The 17,153-nt window shown below is 46.3% G+C and overlaps 1 protein-coding gene, 1 long non-coding RNA gene and 1 pseudogene across 15 annotated transcripts in view, besides 2 other annotated features; 2 read left to right on the forward strand and 1 right to left on the reverse strand.

Annotated features, from left to right (window-relative positions):
• Window positions 1–17,153, forward strand: part of BABAM2 (BRISC and BRCA1 A complex member 2) — a 450,193-nt gene that overhangs the window by 418,172 nt on the left and 14,868 nt on the right. For 4 of the 14 annotated variants that reach the window (NR_137440.2, NR_137439.2, NM_199193.3 and 1 more), the window contains one exon: window positions 3,202–3,273. The exons of 7 other annotated variants lie outside the window; for them this stretch is intronic. Coding sequence is in view for 4 of the 7 variants with exons in the window: in NM_199193.3 (NP_954663.1) it covers window positions 3,202–3,244 (43 nt within the window). In the remaining 3 variants the exon portion in view is untranslated. Of the gene's footprint in view, window positions 1–3,201; window positions 3,490–17,153 lie in introns of all 14 variants that reach the window. 3 more of the 14 variants (NM_001329115.2, NM_001329114.2, NR_137438.2) reach the window with 2 other exon arrangements.
• Window positions 811–3,579, reverse strand: BABAM2-AS2 (BABAM2 antisense RNA 2). Its single transcript, NR_038319.1, has 3 exons — window positions 3,397–3,579; window positions 3,057–3,099; window positions 811–2,694 (listed from the first exon to the last, which is right to left on the reverse strand). It is a non-coding gene; the product is annotated as a BABAM2 antisense RNA 2 (long non-coding RNA).
• RPL23AP34 (ribosomal protein L23a pseudogene 34) lies at window positions 1,271–1,690 on the forward strand (annotated as a pseudogene).
• Window positions 2,283–3,482: an enhancer, noted in NCBI's record as "CDK7 strongly-dependent group 2 enhancer chr2:28532030-28533229 (GRCh37/hg19 assembly coordinates)". NCBI's record gives its function as "activates an origin of replication core promoter dependent on BRD2, BRD4, P300/CBP, MED14 and CDK7 cofactors, with strong dependence on CDK7, by STARR-seq in HCT116 cells {active_cell/tissue: HCT116}" and the evidence as "EXISTENCE:reporter gene assay evidence [ECO:0000049][PMID:35650434]".
• Window positions 12,290–13,285: an enhancer, noted in NCBI's record as "H3K27ac-H3K4me1 hESC enhancer chr2:28542037-28543032 (GRCh37/hg19 assembly coordinates)". NCBI's record gives its function as "activates a minimal SCP1, AML or CMV promoter by ChIP-STARR-seq in naive and primed H9 embryonic stem cells {active_cell/tissue: H9 hESC(naive and primed)}" and the evidence as "EXISTENCE:reporter gene assay evidence [ECO:0000049][PMID:30033119]".

Raw genomic sequence — 17,153 nt, forward strand, 5'->3', positions numbered from 1 at the left:
AGAGACGGGGTTTCACCATGTTGGCCAGACTGGTCTTGAACTCCTGACCTCATGATCCACCTGCCTTGGCCCCCCAAAGTGCTGGGATTACAGGCATGAGCCACCACACCTGGCCTTTTTTTTTTTTTTTTTTTTTTTTTTTTTGAGACAGAGTCTTATTCTGTCACCCAGGCTGGAGTGCAGTGGCGTGATCTCGGCTCACTGCAACCTCTGCCTCCCGGGTTCAAGTGATTCTCCTGCCTCAGCCTCCCAAATAGCTGGGACTATAGGCGCACACCACCACACCTGGCTATTTTTTATATTTTTAGTAGAGATGGGGTTTTGCCATATTGGCCAGGCTGGTCTCAAACTCCTGACCTCAAGTGATCCACCTGCCTTGGCCTCCCAAAGTGCTGGGCTTACAGGCATGAGCCACCACACCTGGCCTTAATTGGAGTATTTCATTTATTTATACATTTAATATAAATAATAAGCTTACTGGGTTTAAGCCCTACAGTCTTTCTATTCATATTTTTGGTTTGGGTTTTTTTTTTTTATTCCTTTGTCCTTTTCTTCCTGTATTCTTTCAGTTTATTAAAGTATTTTTTAGTTTACCATTTTCTCTTCTGTTGGTGTGTTAGCTATATTTCTTTGTATATTTTAGTCATTTATACACTAAAAATACACCGTTAACTTATCACAGCCTACCGTGAATTAATATTATAATGCTTCCTGTATAAACAGTGTAATTATCTGTGTACCTTCTATTTATCTTTGTGCTGTCATATTCACACACTTTCAGTCTTCGTATTTTATGAATTCCACAATACATTGTTATTACTTTGGCTTTTAATAGTCAACTAACTTTTAAAGAATTCAAGAAAAAAAGAAAAATTACCTTCCATCTTATTCTGTAGTTTTTCAATAAATGTAATAAATAATCATTTCCTCTAAAAAAAAAACCTATTTAAAATTACTTCCTCCAAATAAGCCATCAGAGTGACCATATCCAGCCTATAGGCAGAGGACATTGAAATTGGCAGTCATCAAGAAAAGAAAATGATATCTACATGACATCCAGGTGCCTCTGTCTGCCCTGTGGACTTCATTCACAGTGGCCCCTCACACACTTTTATGGGATCATCAGCTGCAGCCCTTCAAGGGTTATAATGCAGAAATTCTTAGTAGGCCTCATACAGATTATAAAAACTGAGGCTCAGAGTGATTAATTGACTTTGCCGAGGGCACACAGCTGGCTTCTAGAGGAGTGAGGGCTCAACATAGGTCCTCATTTTCACATTATGGCACCAAAAGTGAAAAAAGTTCTTGCCCCTCCCAAAGCTGAAGCCAAAGCGAATGCTTTGAAGGCCAGGAAGGCAGTGCTTAAAGGTGTCCACAGCCACAAAAAGAAGATCCAATCCACACATCACCCACCTGCCAGTGGCCCAAGACAGTGTGGCTCTGCAGGCAGCAGAAATATGCTTGGAAGAGCACTCCCAGGAGAAACAAGCTTGACCAATAATTCATCATCAGGTTCCCCCAACCACTGAGTCAGCCATGAAGAAGATAGAAGACAACAACACAACTTGTGTCCATTGTGGATGTCAAAGCCAACAAGCACCAGATCAAACAGGCTGTGAAGAAGCTCAGTGACACTGCTGTGGCCAAAGCCAACACCCTGATCAGGCCTGATGGAGAGAAGAAGGCATATTGGGATCATCTAAACTGAATCCAGCTAGTTGATTCTATGTATATGTCTTTTCACCATTTAAAACCAAAACAAAAGCATAGGTCCTCTGACCCTTCTGCACATCCACACCCAGGCAGACAGAAACAGTTCCATACTCTTTTCACCATGTGTCTGAGGCTCTCTTCTCATACAGAGAGGAAATGCATGAGGCAATGAAGAGCACTGACCATAAAGTCAAGACATAGCTGGGTTTAAACCTGTCTCTGCCACTCACAGGCTATGTGACTTTGGGCAAATTCCTAATTTCCCTGGGTCTTTGTTTCCTTGTCTATAAAATGGTGAAGCCTACTTGAGAGGGTTATGATGGGTATCACATGGGGTGTATGATTTTCTGTGTTGCTAATTTTAAAAATATCATAAGTTAACCCTTTTAAAACGCCACTAATTATTAATCTCACAGTTTCTGTGGGTTAGGAGTCCCACTCAAGATGCCTGGGTTCTCAGTTCGGGGTTTTAGGCAACTAAAATCAAGGCTTTGTCTGGGTCTATGATCTCACCCCTGAGGCTTATGCTCCTCCTTCAAGCTCTTTCAGTATGTTGGCAGAGTTCAGTTCCTTGTGGTTGTAGGACTGAGGCCCCTGTTACCTTGCCGCTGTCAACTGGAGACCACCCTCAGCAACTAGAGGCTGCGTGCGTCCTCTGCCATGTGGTCCCCTCCATTTTCAAGCCAGTAGTGGTGCGTCAGATCCCTCTTATATTTTGAATCTCTGCCTTCCATATGTCTTCTGCTAGTCACAGATTTAAAGCCTCCCTGTCTTAAAGTCATCTGTGCCATATAACAAAACCTGTTTACCAGAATGAAATCCATCACATTCACAATCCTGGGGATTACACAGAAGGTGGAGAATCTTGGGGGTCACGTTAGAATTCTGCCTACTACGTGGGATAATGTCAGTGAATTGTCCAGCATAAGGTCTGGCATATGGTAAGAATTTGATCATTTTTAGCTATCAGCAGCAACATCCCTAGAGAAAAAGAGGAGATTTTTAAATTAAAAGCAGAGTCAATATTGATACCATCATATGTACCCCAGTAAACAGTCCCTTAACCTCGGTAACTTGGCTAGAGTTCCCAAAGTTTAAGGCCACCCCATTAATGGACTGTCATCCCCTGTGGTTGTATCTTCTTGGTACCAGCACAACCAGCTGAACCAACCTCATCTCAGCTGAACTCCCCACAAGAGAGATGAGGGAGTTTTCCAGGCCCAGGCCAACATAGCTCGGGTGATCAGAGCCCCCGAGAAGACAATAAAGTCAGTGCTGGTGAGCGACACAGGAATTGGGGACTGAGGTCACCAAGGCCTTCCATTCCGCACGAGCAAGCTCACCCGTCCCTCCTGGGCCTTTTCCTTATGGGGTTTAGAAGTAGAGCTGTGAAGAGAAAAGCAAATCATATAAATAACGTGGAATTATTGGATCCTTGAACCCTTTTGAAAAGTATCTTAAAGGGATTTGGTTTGTTTTTCCTTACAGAAGAGAGAGCAACAGAGATGGGGAGGAATCCAGCTCTGCCTGACATCCAGGCATCCTCTCCAAATTGCATAGGTCAGTGAGAACGTGTTATTTATTAGAACCTGACATCTGTTGCAGTGAAATGATAAGCTCCATTGAAAAGCCTGGCCATCAATTACTGCCAATACAGCCCTCATCCCAGAGGAAGCCACTCACCATCCTCTCAGCCTGTGCAGACCAGGCTGCACCAGGCACGGAGTGTTTACAGCCCAGCTCAGTCTCCTGGCTCCCCTGGGGGAGGGGCAGCAGGTAAATCCCTTCTGCAGGTCCCCTCAGGCCATCTCTCCCCAGGCCCTCCATCTGTATTCCTTTGGTTCCACTGGAAGCTTCTCTGAGAGCAGTTTTAAAGACTGCACCCCCTGTTTATCCTGCTTTCTCAGTGGAAAACAGTTAGGGCTTTTGTTCTGGCCTCAGTCACACAAGCCAGAAGAAGCTGCACTGAACTCAGCTTATCAGGATAGTCACACAGAAAGAGTAACTGGGCTGGGCGTGGTGGCTCACACCTGTAATCCCAGCACTTTGGGAGGCCGAGGCAGGTGGATCACCTGAGGTCAGGAATTCAAGACCAACCTGGGAAACATGGTGAAACCCTGTCTCTACTAAAAATACAAAAATTAGCCAGGCATGATGGCGGGCGTCTGTAATCCCAGCTACTTAGGAGACTGAGGCAGGAGGATCACTTGAACCGGGGAGGCAGAGGTTGCAGTGAGCCAAGATCGTGCCACTGCACTCCTGCCAGGGTGACAGAGCAAGACCCCGTCTCAAAAATAAAAATAAAGAAAAAAAGAGTAACTGGAAGGTCAGCACATCTTTGTCAGGAAAATTAACTCAGGTGTGCCCTTTCAAGAACAATTGAGTGGGCTGGGCGCGGTGGCTCACGCCTGTAATCCCAGCACTTTGGGAGGCCGAGGCAGGCGGATCACAAGGTCAGGAGATCAAGACCATCCTGGCTAACATGGTGAAACCCTGCCTCTACTAAAAATACAAAAAATTAGCCGAGTGTGGTGGTGGGCACCTGTAGTCCCAGGTACTTGGGAGGCTGAGGCAGGAGAATGGCGTGAACCCGGGAGGCGGAGCTTGCAGTGAGCCGAGATCGCGCCACTGCACTCCAGCCTAGGCGACAGAATGAGACCCTGTCTCAAAAAAAAAAAAAAAAAAAGAACAATCGAGTGTTCAAGCTTGGGTTCCAATTACCCCGCCAGCCACTGGGGAAGTGTTTGGGATCACCAAGGAGAGCAACTTCCTTGCTTGTGAGTTAGGGTCACGTATTCTCTTTCCTGGAAAAATAGACAGGTGTCCTATAGAGTTAGAAAGGAAAGGGTAGAGGAGCTGGTTTGGGATTTTTATGATAAACCATAGTAGGAACATATGCTATTAATGGAATCAGAGTTCCTTTTGAACAGCTGGGGGAAGAAACGTACAGTAAGTCAAGAAAAAGCAAAGGATAGTGGCCTGGGAGTCAAGTGACCTGGGTCTCATCTAGGGACCATTATTAATTTCCTTCGTGATCATGGAAAAGACACGTCACCTTTCTGGACTTCAGTACCTTCCTCTGAAAGTACTGGGCTAGTACCCACCTGGTAATCACTAAGCTCTAATATATTTCTGGAATTTTAAGTGAAAATTGTTTAAGGTAGCTGAGCATACTTTTTTATTCATGTTGAGAAACTTCCATCTCTGTTGCCGGAGGTCAGACACAAATTGAAAACATTACTAAATGGAATTAAGTACACCGTGTACGTGATGCCTTTTTGTACAGCTCGTATCTGATATTTATAGAACACTTCAGTTGCAGAACGTGCACACATATGCCCTGAACACACACCCAATAAAATAATTCTAGATGCAATACATTTTCAGATGTCAAGTTAAAACAGCTTCTTAGGAATTAGGCTTGACTGTTCAGATGTGTGTGTTAGTTTATGACAGGTGCCGCCAGGGCTGCTCAGGGCTGTCATGAGTGATGTGGAGTCCAGCCAAGGCAGGAGGGCCAAGCCGCTTGTTTCTATCACTTCTCATTAAGGCATGAATTCTAGAAAAAAGGGAAGCATCAAAGAACCATCAGGATTGTCCATTGTGTGCATATCATAATGACAAGCAGAGGCCTTGCTTCTGCAGAAACAAGATTCTGTCTTGTCTTTTGTCAGATCATTCAGCACAAGGGCCACCTGTGAAAATGAACTAGATTCATGCCTTATTAAAGTAGAGGATTTACAGAGGTGAGCAAAAATGGGAAGCAGGTACCATCCAGCTCATTATATACAGAGTATGTACAAAGCACTGGAGACTACCACACACACGTATTTTGAAGAGCCCCAACTCAAAGCCTACTGATTGATTTCTGGAATGGTCTGTCACTCCTTGAGATTCCATTCTGACAATGAGGCTATCTATGGCATTAACTACTCAGAAGACTGAGTACAACTCAGAATTACAAAGCAGGAAGTTACGTAGTTCTTCTAAAAATCAAAACCAAAATTTAGAAAACTCACTGGGGCAGTTACCTCTACTCCACTGTCCTGCAAAATCCACAACCAACAGCAGAGATAAGTTGGGTGACTAAGTAGGAATGCATCCTGGGAAGTTAAGTGTGACAGTGGGGGCCAGTCACAGAACATGGAACATGGAAGGAACTTTAGAGATCATCTAGTACTGCCAGGTCTAAATATGGTAAGCATTAACTATTGTGATAGACATTCAATGAAATAATCGATATAGACCTTTAAGCACAGTGATTGGCATAGAGTTGACTTTCAGTTCATCATTTTCATTTCCTAGAAGAATTTGTGCAAGGCATACAGTATCAAGATTAGAACCCTATGCCCCTGATTACTGGTCCAAAGCCCAGCCCAAGCCACCTCTGACCTCCTACGTTTCCCCTCTTTCCTGCTCCCTTGCTCACAGGAGCAGCACAGAATCATCAAGGGCAGGAGTTTAGCCTGCACCACGTACACATCCACCTACCCGTGGAGTGGCCTGGCATGGGTGCCTTCTTCCTAGTGGCTCACCCAGGAGGCTGAAGGCCTCTGTGCCCATGGGGAAAACCCAGGGTGTTTGTGAGCAGAAATAACCCTGCTGAGAGTCTAAAAACCAAGTACTTTTAAGAGAAGGTAACATGCTTCTGTGGCCAAACTTATTACTAGCGTCTATGGGCAAAAGAGAAGAAGGAGTATTGTAATGGAATGCGCCAAAGGAAAGACATCACTTTACTGCTATCTCCAAAGCAGCAGGGAGGCTGCACATTGAGAAGAGGATAGAAAATTCCAGTGACTCCTATTTTCCCAGACAGACAGAACCTCTGGCACTTAGTCATGCCTAATGGAAAATCGAAGCCAAGAAAGCAGAAATGGGGTGGGGGTGAGCTAGGGTAGTCTGTAATCCAAAGTCACTTCTGAGGAAAAAAAGTAGTTTGTTTGTCTCCTTGTGTGCCATGAGTGGGCAGGGCTGAGTTGCCAGGTAGCGGGGCCTTGACACTCGGAAGAACAGCCTTTAGAGCAGCCATGATTGTGAGAATTGGGCAGAACAGTGGTTTCCTAGTTGATCCAGAAGCAACTAGTAAGCCTACAGTCTGTGTGTAGCTGCAGTTAAGTTACTGCTAAATCTCTTCAGCAAACGTGTAAGAGCTCACTATATGCAGAATATGTACAAAGCACTGAAGACTAACACACACACATTTTGAAGAGCACCAACTCAAAGCCTACTGATTGATTTCTGGAATGGTCCATCGCTGCTTGAGATTACATTCTGACAGTGAGGCTGTCCACGGCATTAACTACTCAGCAGACTGAGTACAGTCCGAATTGCAAAGCAGGAAGCTATGTAGTTCTTCTAACAATCAAAATCAAAATGTAGAAAACCCCAGTTTTGCATTATTGATCATTTGGGAGACTGGATAATCCTTAAACTGTCATTATTCCAGGTATCCAGAAAAGTGAGCATTACAGGAACGTGCATATAAGGGCAAGATCACGTATTTTCTCAGAATAAACAATGGGTCACCCAGTGCCTCCTAATCACCTTACAGACAATAAGAATTGTAAAATGTATTGAATAATTATAGTACACCAGCATAGCTCTAAGTGCTTTATGTTTTTTAATTTCTGTAATTCTCGTAACAACCTTATGAGCTAGGTACTGCTATTACACCTATTTTACGGGTTATGAAATTGAGACCCTGCAAAAGGAAGGGACGTATTCAAGGTCACAGAGTCACTTAGTGTAGGAACTGAGCATATACCTTGGCTTTCCCAACTTTTAGATTGGTTTCATACTGCACCACCTCTTTTCCTCAGATTAAGGTCTGAGTTATCCCAAATTCACCAGGCAGCTGAGCTCAGCTCTCTGTTTAGAACTGCAGGGTCTAGGCTGTTTGCCTTGGTTGACACTCAGGTTTGGCATGCCCCAGTGTGGATTTGTAGTGGCTAACATTTAATTAGATTTTGCCCAGATCACTAGCCTAGATCACTTTTCCCATTCATTCATTCAGCAGATGTTTATTGAATTCAAACTAGGTGTTAGGTACGATGTTAAGTGATGTGTAAGATACAGTCCCTGCTTTCGGTGAACTAGAGGAGGGATGAGAATTGCACATAGATTCTTCTCTTTAAGGTGGCAACGTGCAGGGAAAGAGCACTAGGAGTCGAGGAAAGAAGATTATGTCTGTTTACTGGGACCCAGGAAGCTGAAATTGGAGGCTGGGTAGGATTTGATGTGCAGAGAGGGGAGGACACTCCTCCAGAGGAAACAGAGTGCACAAAGGCCCAGAAGATGGGAAGCATGGGGGTTCCAGGAGGTATGCCGGTGTCCACTGAAGACAAGAGCAGTAGATAAGGCAGGAAAGAAAAGAAAAGAGAAAAGAAGGAAGGTGGGGAGGGAGGGAAAAGAAAGAAAGGAAAGAGAGAAGGAGAGAGAGAGAAGAAAGAAAGGGAAGGGGAGGGGAGGGGAAAGGGGGGAGGGAAGGAAGGAAGGAGAGGAGAGGGGAGAGGAGGGGAAAAGGGGAAGGGAAGGGAGAGAAGGAGAGGGGAGGAGATATGCAGGGTACAGAGAACATGCCCTCTGGAATCAGACCAGCTGGAATTCAAGTCCTTGTTCAACCACTGTCTAGTAGAGTTTTTTGTTTGTTTGTTTGTTTGTTTGTTTTTAAATCTCTGTGGGCCTTGGCTTTCTCACAGAGGATTGTGAGTGTTAAATGCTGAAATGATTGTAAAATGCCTGGCACATTGTTGGTGTTCACCATGCTAAAACATTTTATCTTTTTTTTTTCTGTAGGCAGTAAGGTATTTCTTTGTGTGTGTGGTTCTTTTTTCTTTTCTTTTCTTTTCTTTTCTTTTCTTTTCTTTTCTTTTCTTTTCTTTTCTTTTCTTTTCGAGACAGAGTCTCACTCTGTTGCCAGGCTGGAGTACAGTGGCACAATCATAGCTCACTGCAGACTTGAATTCCTGGGCTCAAGCAATCCTCCCACCTCAGCCTCCCAAGTAACCAGGATTACAGGTCCATGCAACAGCACTGGGCTGATTTTTTATTTATTTATTTATTTATTTTTTATTTTTTTTTTTAGAGGTGGAGTCTCACTATGTTGCCCAGGCTGGTCTTTAACTCCTGGGCTCAATCAATCCTCCCATCTTGACCTCACAAAGTGCAGGGATTACAGGCATAAGCCGCCTCACCCAGCCAGGTTTTTTGTCAGTTTACAAATTACATATTGGTATAATGATCTGCTTTGGTGTTGATATGTAAATCATAATAGATCCTTCTTGGCCTTGGAAATATTAATAAACACAGTCAAAAACTAAGGGTCATGCTCATGGAACACTATAAAGGAATGTTTGGCTTGGGTTCTTTCACCCCTTCTTTGCCGCCTCCATGTCCAGGGCTTTTAGAGACCCCACTCTGGATCTTCAGAGTTAGGATTGCCAGATTTAGCAATTAAAAATGCAACATGTCCAGTTACACTTAAATTTCAAATAAACAACAAATAATTTAGTGTAAGTATGCCCCATGCAGTATTGAGGACATACTTATACTAAAAAGTCATTTATCTGACATTCAGATTTAACAAGGCATCCTGTATTGAGGAGCAGGTCAGGAATCAGCCAGAACAAACCTGTTCCCCATATTTGGGGAAGGAGGCTCACCTGCCTGCTAGCCTTGTCTCTCGGGTGATAAAGGCTCCACGCAGCAGGCTTTGAGCAGGGCCTTCAAATCACTTCCTGGGTAGAGACATCAAATCTAATGGGTCCCACTGTGCATGTTTGGGAGTGGGAGTGGGAGTGGAAATGGGGGTGGGAGTGGGGGTGGGGGTGGGGGTGGGGGTGGGGGTGGGAGTCGGGGGTGAAGCAAGGAAGAATGTCTTACCCCAGCCTTCACATATCCTCAGCCCCCTCTGTCTGGGCAAGAACACACATCAGCCTTTCCCTCCTCCAACTTAAAGGCCTTATGGGGGATTTTCTTTGCTTTCTTCAGAACATTCCCACAGTCAATTGGTAGAATGAAGACAGCCTTTGTGGTCTGATAACATGTCTCATAGAATACGAGCACGTCTCAGGGCAGAGCATCCTCTTCAAGTTTCTTCCAGGAACATTGCTCACAGCGGGAACTTGAGTTGTCCCTTGTGGGGAGATGCGTGTGTGAGTGACTTGACACAGCCACCCACACGTGATGGGAACAGATTCAGTGCACTGTGCCCTGGCAATCCAAGGATCATGGATATCGAAGCCAGAAAGATAATCTCGCTGCTTCACTTTAGAAATGAAACAAGGGAGAATTCTGCCCAAGGTCACAGATTTTGAGTCTGAATTCAGGTCTAGGTGTCTGTCTACTACTTTGGGCTCTCCAGTAATAGCTCAGGGGATCTGAGTATTCTTGGCACCCTTGTTGGTTGGTTTCTGGGCATTTTCACTGGATTACCTGATGAGTATCCCCCAGACCCCCACTTGGCTGCATGTCCTTCGGCACTGCCGTGCTCAGCTTTATGCTTTGACCCTCCTCTCCTAACAGCGAGCAGGACCACTGCTGCTAGGAGCTAATGGCACTTTCTCTACCAGCCGGCTCATGGCCGTCCCCATTAGTGCCTCCTCACTGCTTTCTTTGCCCCACCCTGACTAAGCGTCCTGCGGTTGAGATGGAAAAATCCAACTCAGAGCAGATAGCTTTTCACCTTGGTTTCAGGGGAATAATTCATCCACATAACATGAGGTAAAAATTAAAACAAAGCAGGGCGTAGGTTCAAGCAGAATAGCACCCTTGGGCTTAAGAGTGACTTTGACCTATTCCTCCCAGACTAGAAAAATTATCTGGCTGCCAGAGAGTTCTTAGAGGAATCACTTTGTTCAATGGTGTCACTGGCAAGGTGGTATTAACCCTAAGACCAGCTTCATCTGAACACTGAAGGCAAACCTGACTGTGCAGGCAGGGCCAGCCCACATGGAAGCCCAGGGCAGCGATCATGGGATCTTCCACTCTTTTTATTTTCTTATTCTTGCCACAACCTGTCATGAGACCAAGAAAACTTGTTTTGAAAATGCTTGACAGCCAAAACAACCTGTTCTCAGCCCTGGATGAGAGGGCTTGTCCTCTCTGACCACTTACGTACTGTTAGAGGTTTGACTAGCTGCTGACTGGAAAACATGAATTTGCTGTTTTCTTCTCATATTGTTCACAGACAAGTGCCAGTGGCTTTCCAGTTCCTGTTTCTCCCCTTTTCCCAGCCTTTTCTTCACCAGAGACGTTTTAAGATTGTGCCTGAGTCTAACTGATGAATGAACACTAGCAGCATACACTTAAGAGGCTGTAACCGATGGTTATATCTCTGCAGGCTGAGCTTGATATGTAGGTTGTCTTTCCAATCCCATTTGATTTTAACCTGTAGATTTAAACTGTGGATAGATTTTAACTCCTGATTTTCCACCTGCTTTTTGGTCCTCTCTGGTGAAGTTGGACGTGTTAGTCAATCTCTAGTTATCCAAGCAGCGATTTTGGCCTCTGCCTTGGTGGCCCTGAGGCCGGCAGTAGTATCTCTGTTCCTCCCACCAAGCCTTGCAAGTCGGGTCTTGGTCTTGGGTGGACCTCCAAATGACCCTGACTGTGAAGGAGCGACCTCATCTCTTCTCCTCTGTACAAGGAAGGGCTGGACTAGATAAGGGTTGGGCAAACAACAGCCTGAGGGCAAAGCTATCCAGCTGCCTGTTTTTATAAATAAAGTTTTATTGGAACACAGCCATACCCTTTGATTTACATATCATGTATGGCTGTTATCACTCCAAGGCCAGAGTTGAATTGTTATAATAGAATACAGGTATGGTCTTGGAAGCTGCAAATATTGATTATCTGGTCCTTTACAGAAAGAGTTTGCTGATCCCTGAACTAGATAATCTCTAGGGTTTTCAAATCCAGCGTTCTATGACTCTTGAACTTGAGGCAATTCTTGAATAGAAAGAGCTCCTGGAATAGGGGCTAACTGGAAAGGGCCTCTTTCCATCCTGTAGTAGTTAGCAAAACAAAGCATGCTTTGAGATTGTTGAACTTTACAAAGGGCGGGGCTTATTTTGCCGTGTTTTTACGGAGTTGATTTTGCTGTGTGTCTGTATTTGTTTATTGGTCTAATGGCTCTGGTATGCATGGTGTCCCCCAGTTTTGGAGAAAAGATATCCCAGCTGTGTAGGCATGGTTTAATCTGACTGTCTTCAGTGGCATGGTTTGAGGTGGGACACCCATTTGTGCCCACCTGGAAGAGAATGCTGATTCGTCTGCTTAATAAACATGGCAGGAAAGGGAGCCAAATGCTGTCCTGGAGAACCTGTAGGGCTGCCCAAACTCCACCTCACCCCTGGGCTGTCTGTGTTTGCCTTCCTTTCTGAGCCTAAGCAATGGGATGGAAAAGATTAACTCTAAGCGGTGGGGCAGTGCAGTAGGCTGTGGCCAGGAGAACAAGAATGGGTTCTGAAGATGCCTTTAAAAATGCAAATTAGGAAGGAAGAAATCTTCACTTTCTTACTCCAAAGCCCATCCAAACAAGGTTCTAATTTATAGAATTGCGTCCCAGTGAAGTTCCCCATGCCCATGTTAGTGCACCAGATGTGTAATAGGGAACCCAACACACAGAACTGAATGGACTTCTCAGGGTCACCTTGGCCAGTAAGAACCTTTGTGCAAACAAAGAAAAGGCTCCCCCTTTGGGTTGGTGCAGAGTTAGCTTTAGGTAAAGTAGAAGCTGTCCCTTTGTCTGGGCCTCTGTCCCTGAGTGAGCACACAGCTTAGCACGCAGAGCACAGGCTCAATTTCAGCCCCCGTTTGCTCTCTTGGCCTGATGCCTTTGTGCGGGGCAGAAGCTGCACTTCCAAATGCACAGCTCCCTGCGCCTCTTGTACCTGGCATGTTAGAAGTCTGTGGGGTTCCCTCAGGGTTCTAGCTGGACAACAACAGGTTAACTCTGCTTGGCCTTGGTCTTTGAGGACACAGCGGACTAGGCTAGCCACCAGCACACCTCTTCATCCCTGTCTCCTTCAGCAACACTGCAAGGCAAGTGTGGCTGGTGTCAGGGCTGAAGGATCGGTGCCCCATGCTGGGAGCAGAGAGTTGGTCCTCTGGCCGCAGACGCTGTAGGCCCTGCCCTAGGCCAGGTGCTTATGCAGGAGAGCCCAAGCCTTGGCTCCTCCTGCCAGCTTCAGCTCAGCTCAAGGAGTGCACATGATTTTCCACACAGTTCAACCTCAAAGGCAATACACTTGCAGCACAGAGAAATGTGCTCAGAGGTCCAGAATAGACAGGCTCACGGTGGGGGAAGTGACCTCACTCCCGAGGCACTGGGTTCCCCACTGCGCAGTGTGTGCTGTGGCGGCATTCCACCGGGACACCCACCCTCGGCAGGGAGTGTTGTCAGAATGGCCTGGAGAAGACTGTGATGAACTCTGTGGGTGCTGCAGTGTTGTGGTCAGATCCGATTTCCACCACTCAATTCATGCTGGAAATTGTATTTGAGCCAGCCATATGGGCAAACTTTGAAAGACTCCTGTCCTACCCTTTTAATTCTGCATCTATCAGCGGTTCCCAGCAGCTCAGAGGCTAGAGGAGTGGGAAGAAAGAGGCAGCGAGCCGACAGCAGCCCAGGACCCAGTGTCTGCTTCCTGTCCCCTTACTTGGTTTTAAGAGCCTACTGGGAACAAGAAGGAATGAAGTTTGTTCCTGTTGTGAGACCCAAATGTGCAGAGCACCATGCTAAGGAAAAGTTAGAGTCCTGCGCCCATCGCTTCTTCTCTGTGACCTAGAAGGATGTGACAGGAAGGTAAAGGACAGTACCTGCATGTCAGCGCTGTCGCACACTCTGAGAAGGGCAGTGGGAGCCCAGTGAAGTCAACCTGGAAACATCTGTGCACATCAGGGCAGGACGGGGGCCCAGGGCCTGAGAGAAAGAAACCCGACTGCTGGCAGATGTCTCCAATTTCATTACTACTCCACGTTGCCAGGCCCATGGTGATGTCCTCACATTTAGCTGCAGCCTGCCGTGGCCAGGCATAGGTTGGCAGCATCACTCAGCGGGGTGCCTTCTAGTGGAACATGGGTGCACCCAGAGCCTTGCCCTTCCTGCTCAGCCTTAGCCCTCAGTGGCTGCAGAAGGCAGGAAGACCCTCCAGGGCTGGCAGTGTGCTGTCATCAGGACACGGGCTTGCAGCTTCCAAGTCCCGCTCTGCCTTTATCATGTGCCTGGCCTTGGTCAAGTTACTCCTCTCCAAGCCTGCTCCTTCATGTATATGGGGGGAGTAGAGTAATGGGATCGATTTCATACACATGATTGTTGCTTGGATTAAAATGAGGTTATTTTGAAAGCACATTATAAACTATAAAATAAGAAGTATCAAGTTAGTTAATTCACTTATTCAACAAATGTTATATATATACCTATTGGTACCAGACACTAGTTGGACAGTGTTCCCAGGAGGTCCAGGCCCTTGTCAATAAGAGCTGTTCAATAACTGTTTGTTGAGTTAACGTGAAACAGGAGGTCCTCAATGTGTGTGTGTCCGTAGCTGTATGATGGCAGTGGAGGGGTGGGCAGGAAGGAAACCAAGGCTTGAGTTCTTACCATGTGCCTGGCACTGTTGCCTCATAACAACTGGTCACTGGAGAGAAACAGAGACTTGGGGGCTTTTCCAGACACACAGCTAGTAAGTAATAGATCCACATTTAAATTCAGTTTTCTCTTACTCGAAAATCCATGTTCTTCCCACTTAATCAGATAGGGAATGATTGCCACGTGTTCCTCTTGCCACAGAATGACACCAGGAGGTTCCATCTCTAACCCATGTTTCTTTTCCCAAGCATCCCTCAGATCTATGACCCAGGCCAAACCCAAGCCAAAAATGATCACCCCTGATTCTAGGCCAGAAAATAGGAATCGTGTGAAATCTAAGCAGAATGAGGCTGTGTCACCACTAGCCAAACCTCTTGTTCATACTGCGCAGGTTTTAGGAAAACAACAGCCTTTAATGCATGCTCGAAATTCCTTCCATGGTAAGCCACTGTGAGAAAAATCTCACCCAAACAATGTGCTCTTGGCAGAGGGAGGGCCGGTGTCTTTTCAGGCAAAAAGCAAACCAGCAGGGACCCAGAAATCACTCTAGGGAGTGTTGGTTTCCCCAGAAGATCTAGCTTTTTAAAAATAAACTTAGCAAAGGATTTCATTTGCCCCTCTGCCCCACCTTTGCCTCTCACTGCTTGGAGAGGAGGAGGATTGTGGAGTTCCTTGTCCCGGGTCAGTTCCCAGCTCAGCATTGATACATCTGCTTCTCAAGTTTAGCACCAAATATTTATTCTGATAAAGTGAGTTTAAAAAAAAAAAAAACTAGATCGATTATTGTCTGGCTTGGTCTCCAAAAACAAGTCCCTGCAATTGACAGTGGTTGCATGAACTTAAGAATAATAGATCCTTAGGAAGGAAGGCTGTTCATTCAGTCATTCAACAGAAAATTAGGGTACTTCTGTGTCACTGAGGTGCAGCCCCAGTGAAATGAACTCAGAAGCCTCCAGTGTTTATACCACTGAGACTGGGGCAGAGTAGTCTGGAGTGCTGCATGTAAAGCTAGGCACTCCCCAGTGATGGAGCTTCCAGCTGCCCCTACCATTCGGTGCACAAGTGTCCCTGAACTTCGGTGAAGTATGAGCCACCAAGCTCCGCCCAAGGGTGACCACAGAAGTAGACAACTTACGAACCAGAAACATCAACCAGCAACCCCAGACAGTTTATGTAAGATTGCTTCATTCCAGAGAGCAGAACTGGGATCCATGGGCAGAAGTTTCAAGGGGACAGATTCCAGTTCGGGAGAGAGAAGAACCCTGTAACTCTTAGAGGCGCCTTTGAGCAACGCGCTCTCAAGGTGTTCCAGCAGGGTGAGGATCACCCCCCAGAAGTGCTGCTGGGCCAAGCCCTGCCTTGAACAAGATCCTGAGGTCTCGCCCAACAGCAAGGTTCTCTGGTTAGCACCAAATGAGTGGCTCAACAGTTCGTGTTGTGGAGCTTCAGAGGCAGGACAAGCAGTCATGGGCTGTGGTTGGCGGCCGCAGGCCCCGATGCTTAGGCCAGGCCTTGAGGGTGGGTAGGTGTCAGGTAGGTGGGAGACCCCCAGCATGTTGCAGGCCCAGGAAAGCACCCTTCACCTGCAGAGTAAAGGGGCTCCTGCTTAGCTGACTGCCAGACTTGCAAAGGGGAATTAATTATTGTTTGTGATACAATTAAAATCCCCCAATGAAAGGCCTTGTATAAATGTAAATTATCATTATTGTCATTAAAGGGGCTAGACGTCTGGCCTGCTGGATAATATCCCCACATACCTCTGAGCAGAAAAGAAAGCCAGCCCAAGGCAGGAATTTTGCTCCTGCTCTTCCAAAGCAATAGCAGTAAGAAGCGGCAGGCCAAGGAGGGCTCTGCCCGTGGCTGTGAAAGCAGAGCCCCCCACTCTCATCCAGGGTGAGCACGCAGCTCTCTCTGCTCTGGGAGTCAAGTGACTGTGTGTCCCCTGAGGGCCAGGGCCCTGCCCAAATGCAGTCCCTTACCCCTGCAGGAACCAGCCCATTACTAGCACAGGAGTGGCCCATGAGTGTGTGAATATTTAGTTGTCTGCTGATTTGAAGGGTGGAAGGAACATGAGCAGGATGGATACTGGCCAGCATTCTTGAGGTCCTAAGTCAGATCTGGAGACAAAGGGGAGATAGACGGCTCAGACCCGTGCAGCACCTCTGATGATGCTTGTGAAGGCTCTTGCCTCTTAACCCCTCTAGCTAAGCGCTGGGAGAGGTCATTTGTTACATTACTGCTTCCACTTAAGAAACTGTCTCTGGCTAAGTGGTTGGATTAATACCAAAGCAGAAATAATAATAATGGATAATAGTATATTAGACTGAGCAGTGACCTCAGAAACCATCCCCTCACTTTGCAGATGAGGCATCTCTGGGGTACAGAGAGGTGAAGTGGCTTCTCCAAAGCAGCGTAGCAGAGAAAAGCAGAGCTGGAATCACAGCTAAAGCTCCCGTGCCAAGTCCACAGTTTGACTATGCGGGATGATGTTACCTCCCCTGTGACAGCAAGTCACAGAGATATTGCCCCTCATCAACCCTAGGGAGTTTTAAGATGACCTTTATGTTACAGGAACCTTCTGGGCTTCCTTTGCTCTTCTGGGGCTCGTTATTTAGAGAACATTTGTGGTCCCTCACATGTCACCTAGGTGGACTGCACACACCCTCCTTCTTGAACTTCTTTTCCTTCCCCCAGACACTCAGAGTAGCCTGCATTCTTCATTAGGGTGCCCCAGCACTTCCAAGAACCACATGGGCCCGTGAGAGGGAGGTCAAGGTCATCCCTTTTGTCTCTTGTTATCATAGTCATAATTCTGCTGAAAAGCTACACGATGCAGATCCCAAGATGA

Source organism: Homo sapiens, chromosome 2, assembly GCF_000001405.40.
Source record: "Homo sapiens chromosome 2, GRCh38.p14 Primary Assembly".
Lineage (NCBI taxonomy): Eukaryota > Metazoa > Chordata > Mammalia > Primates > Hominidae > Homo > Homo sapiens.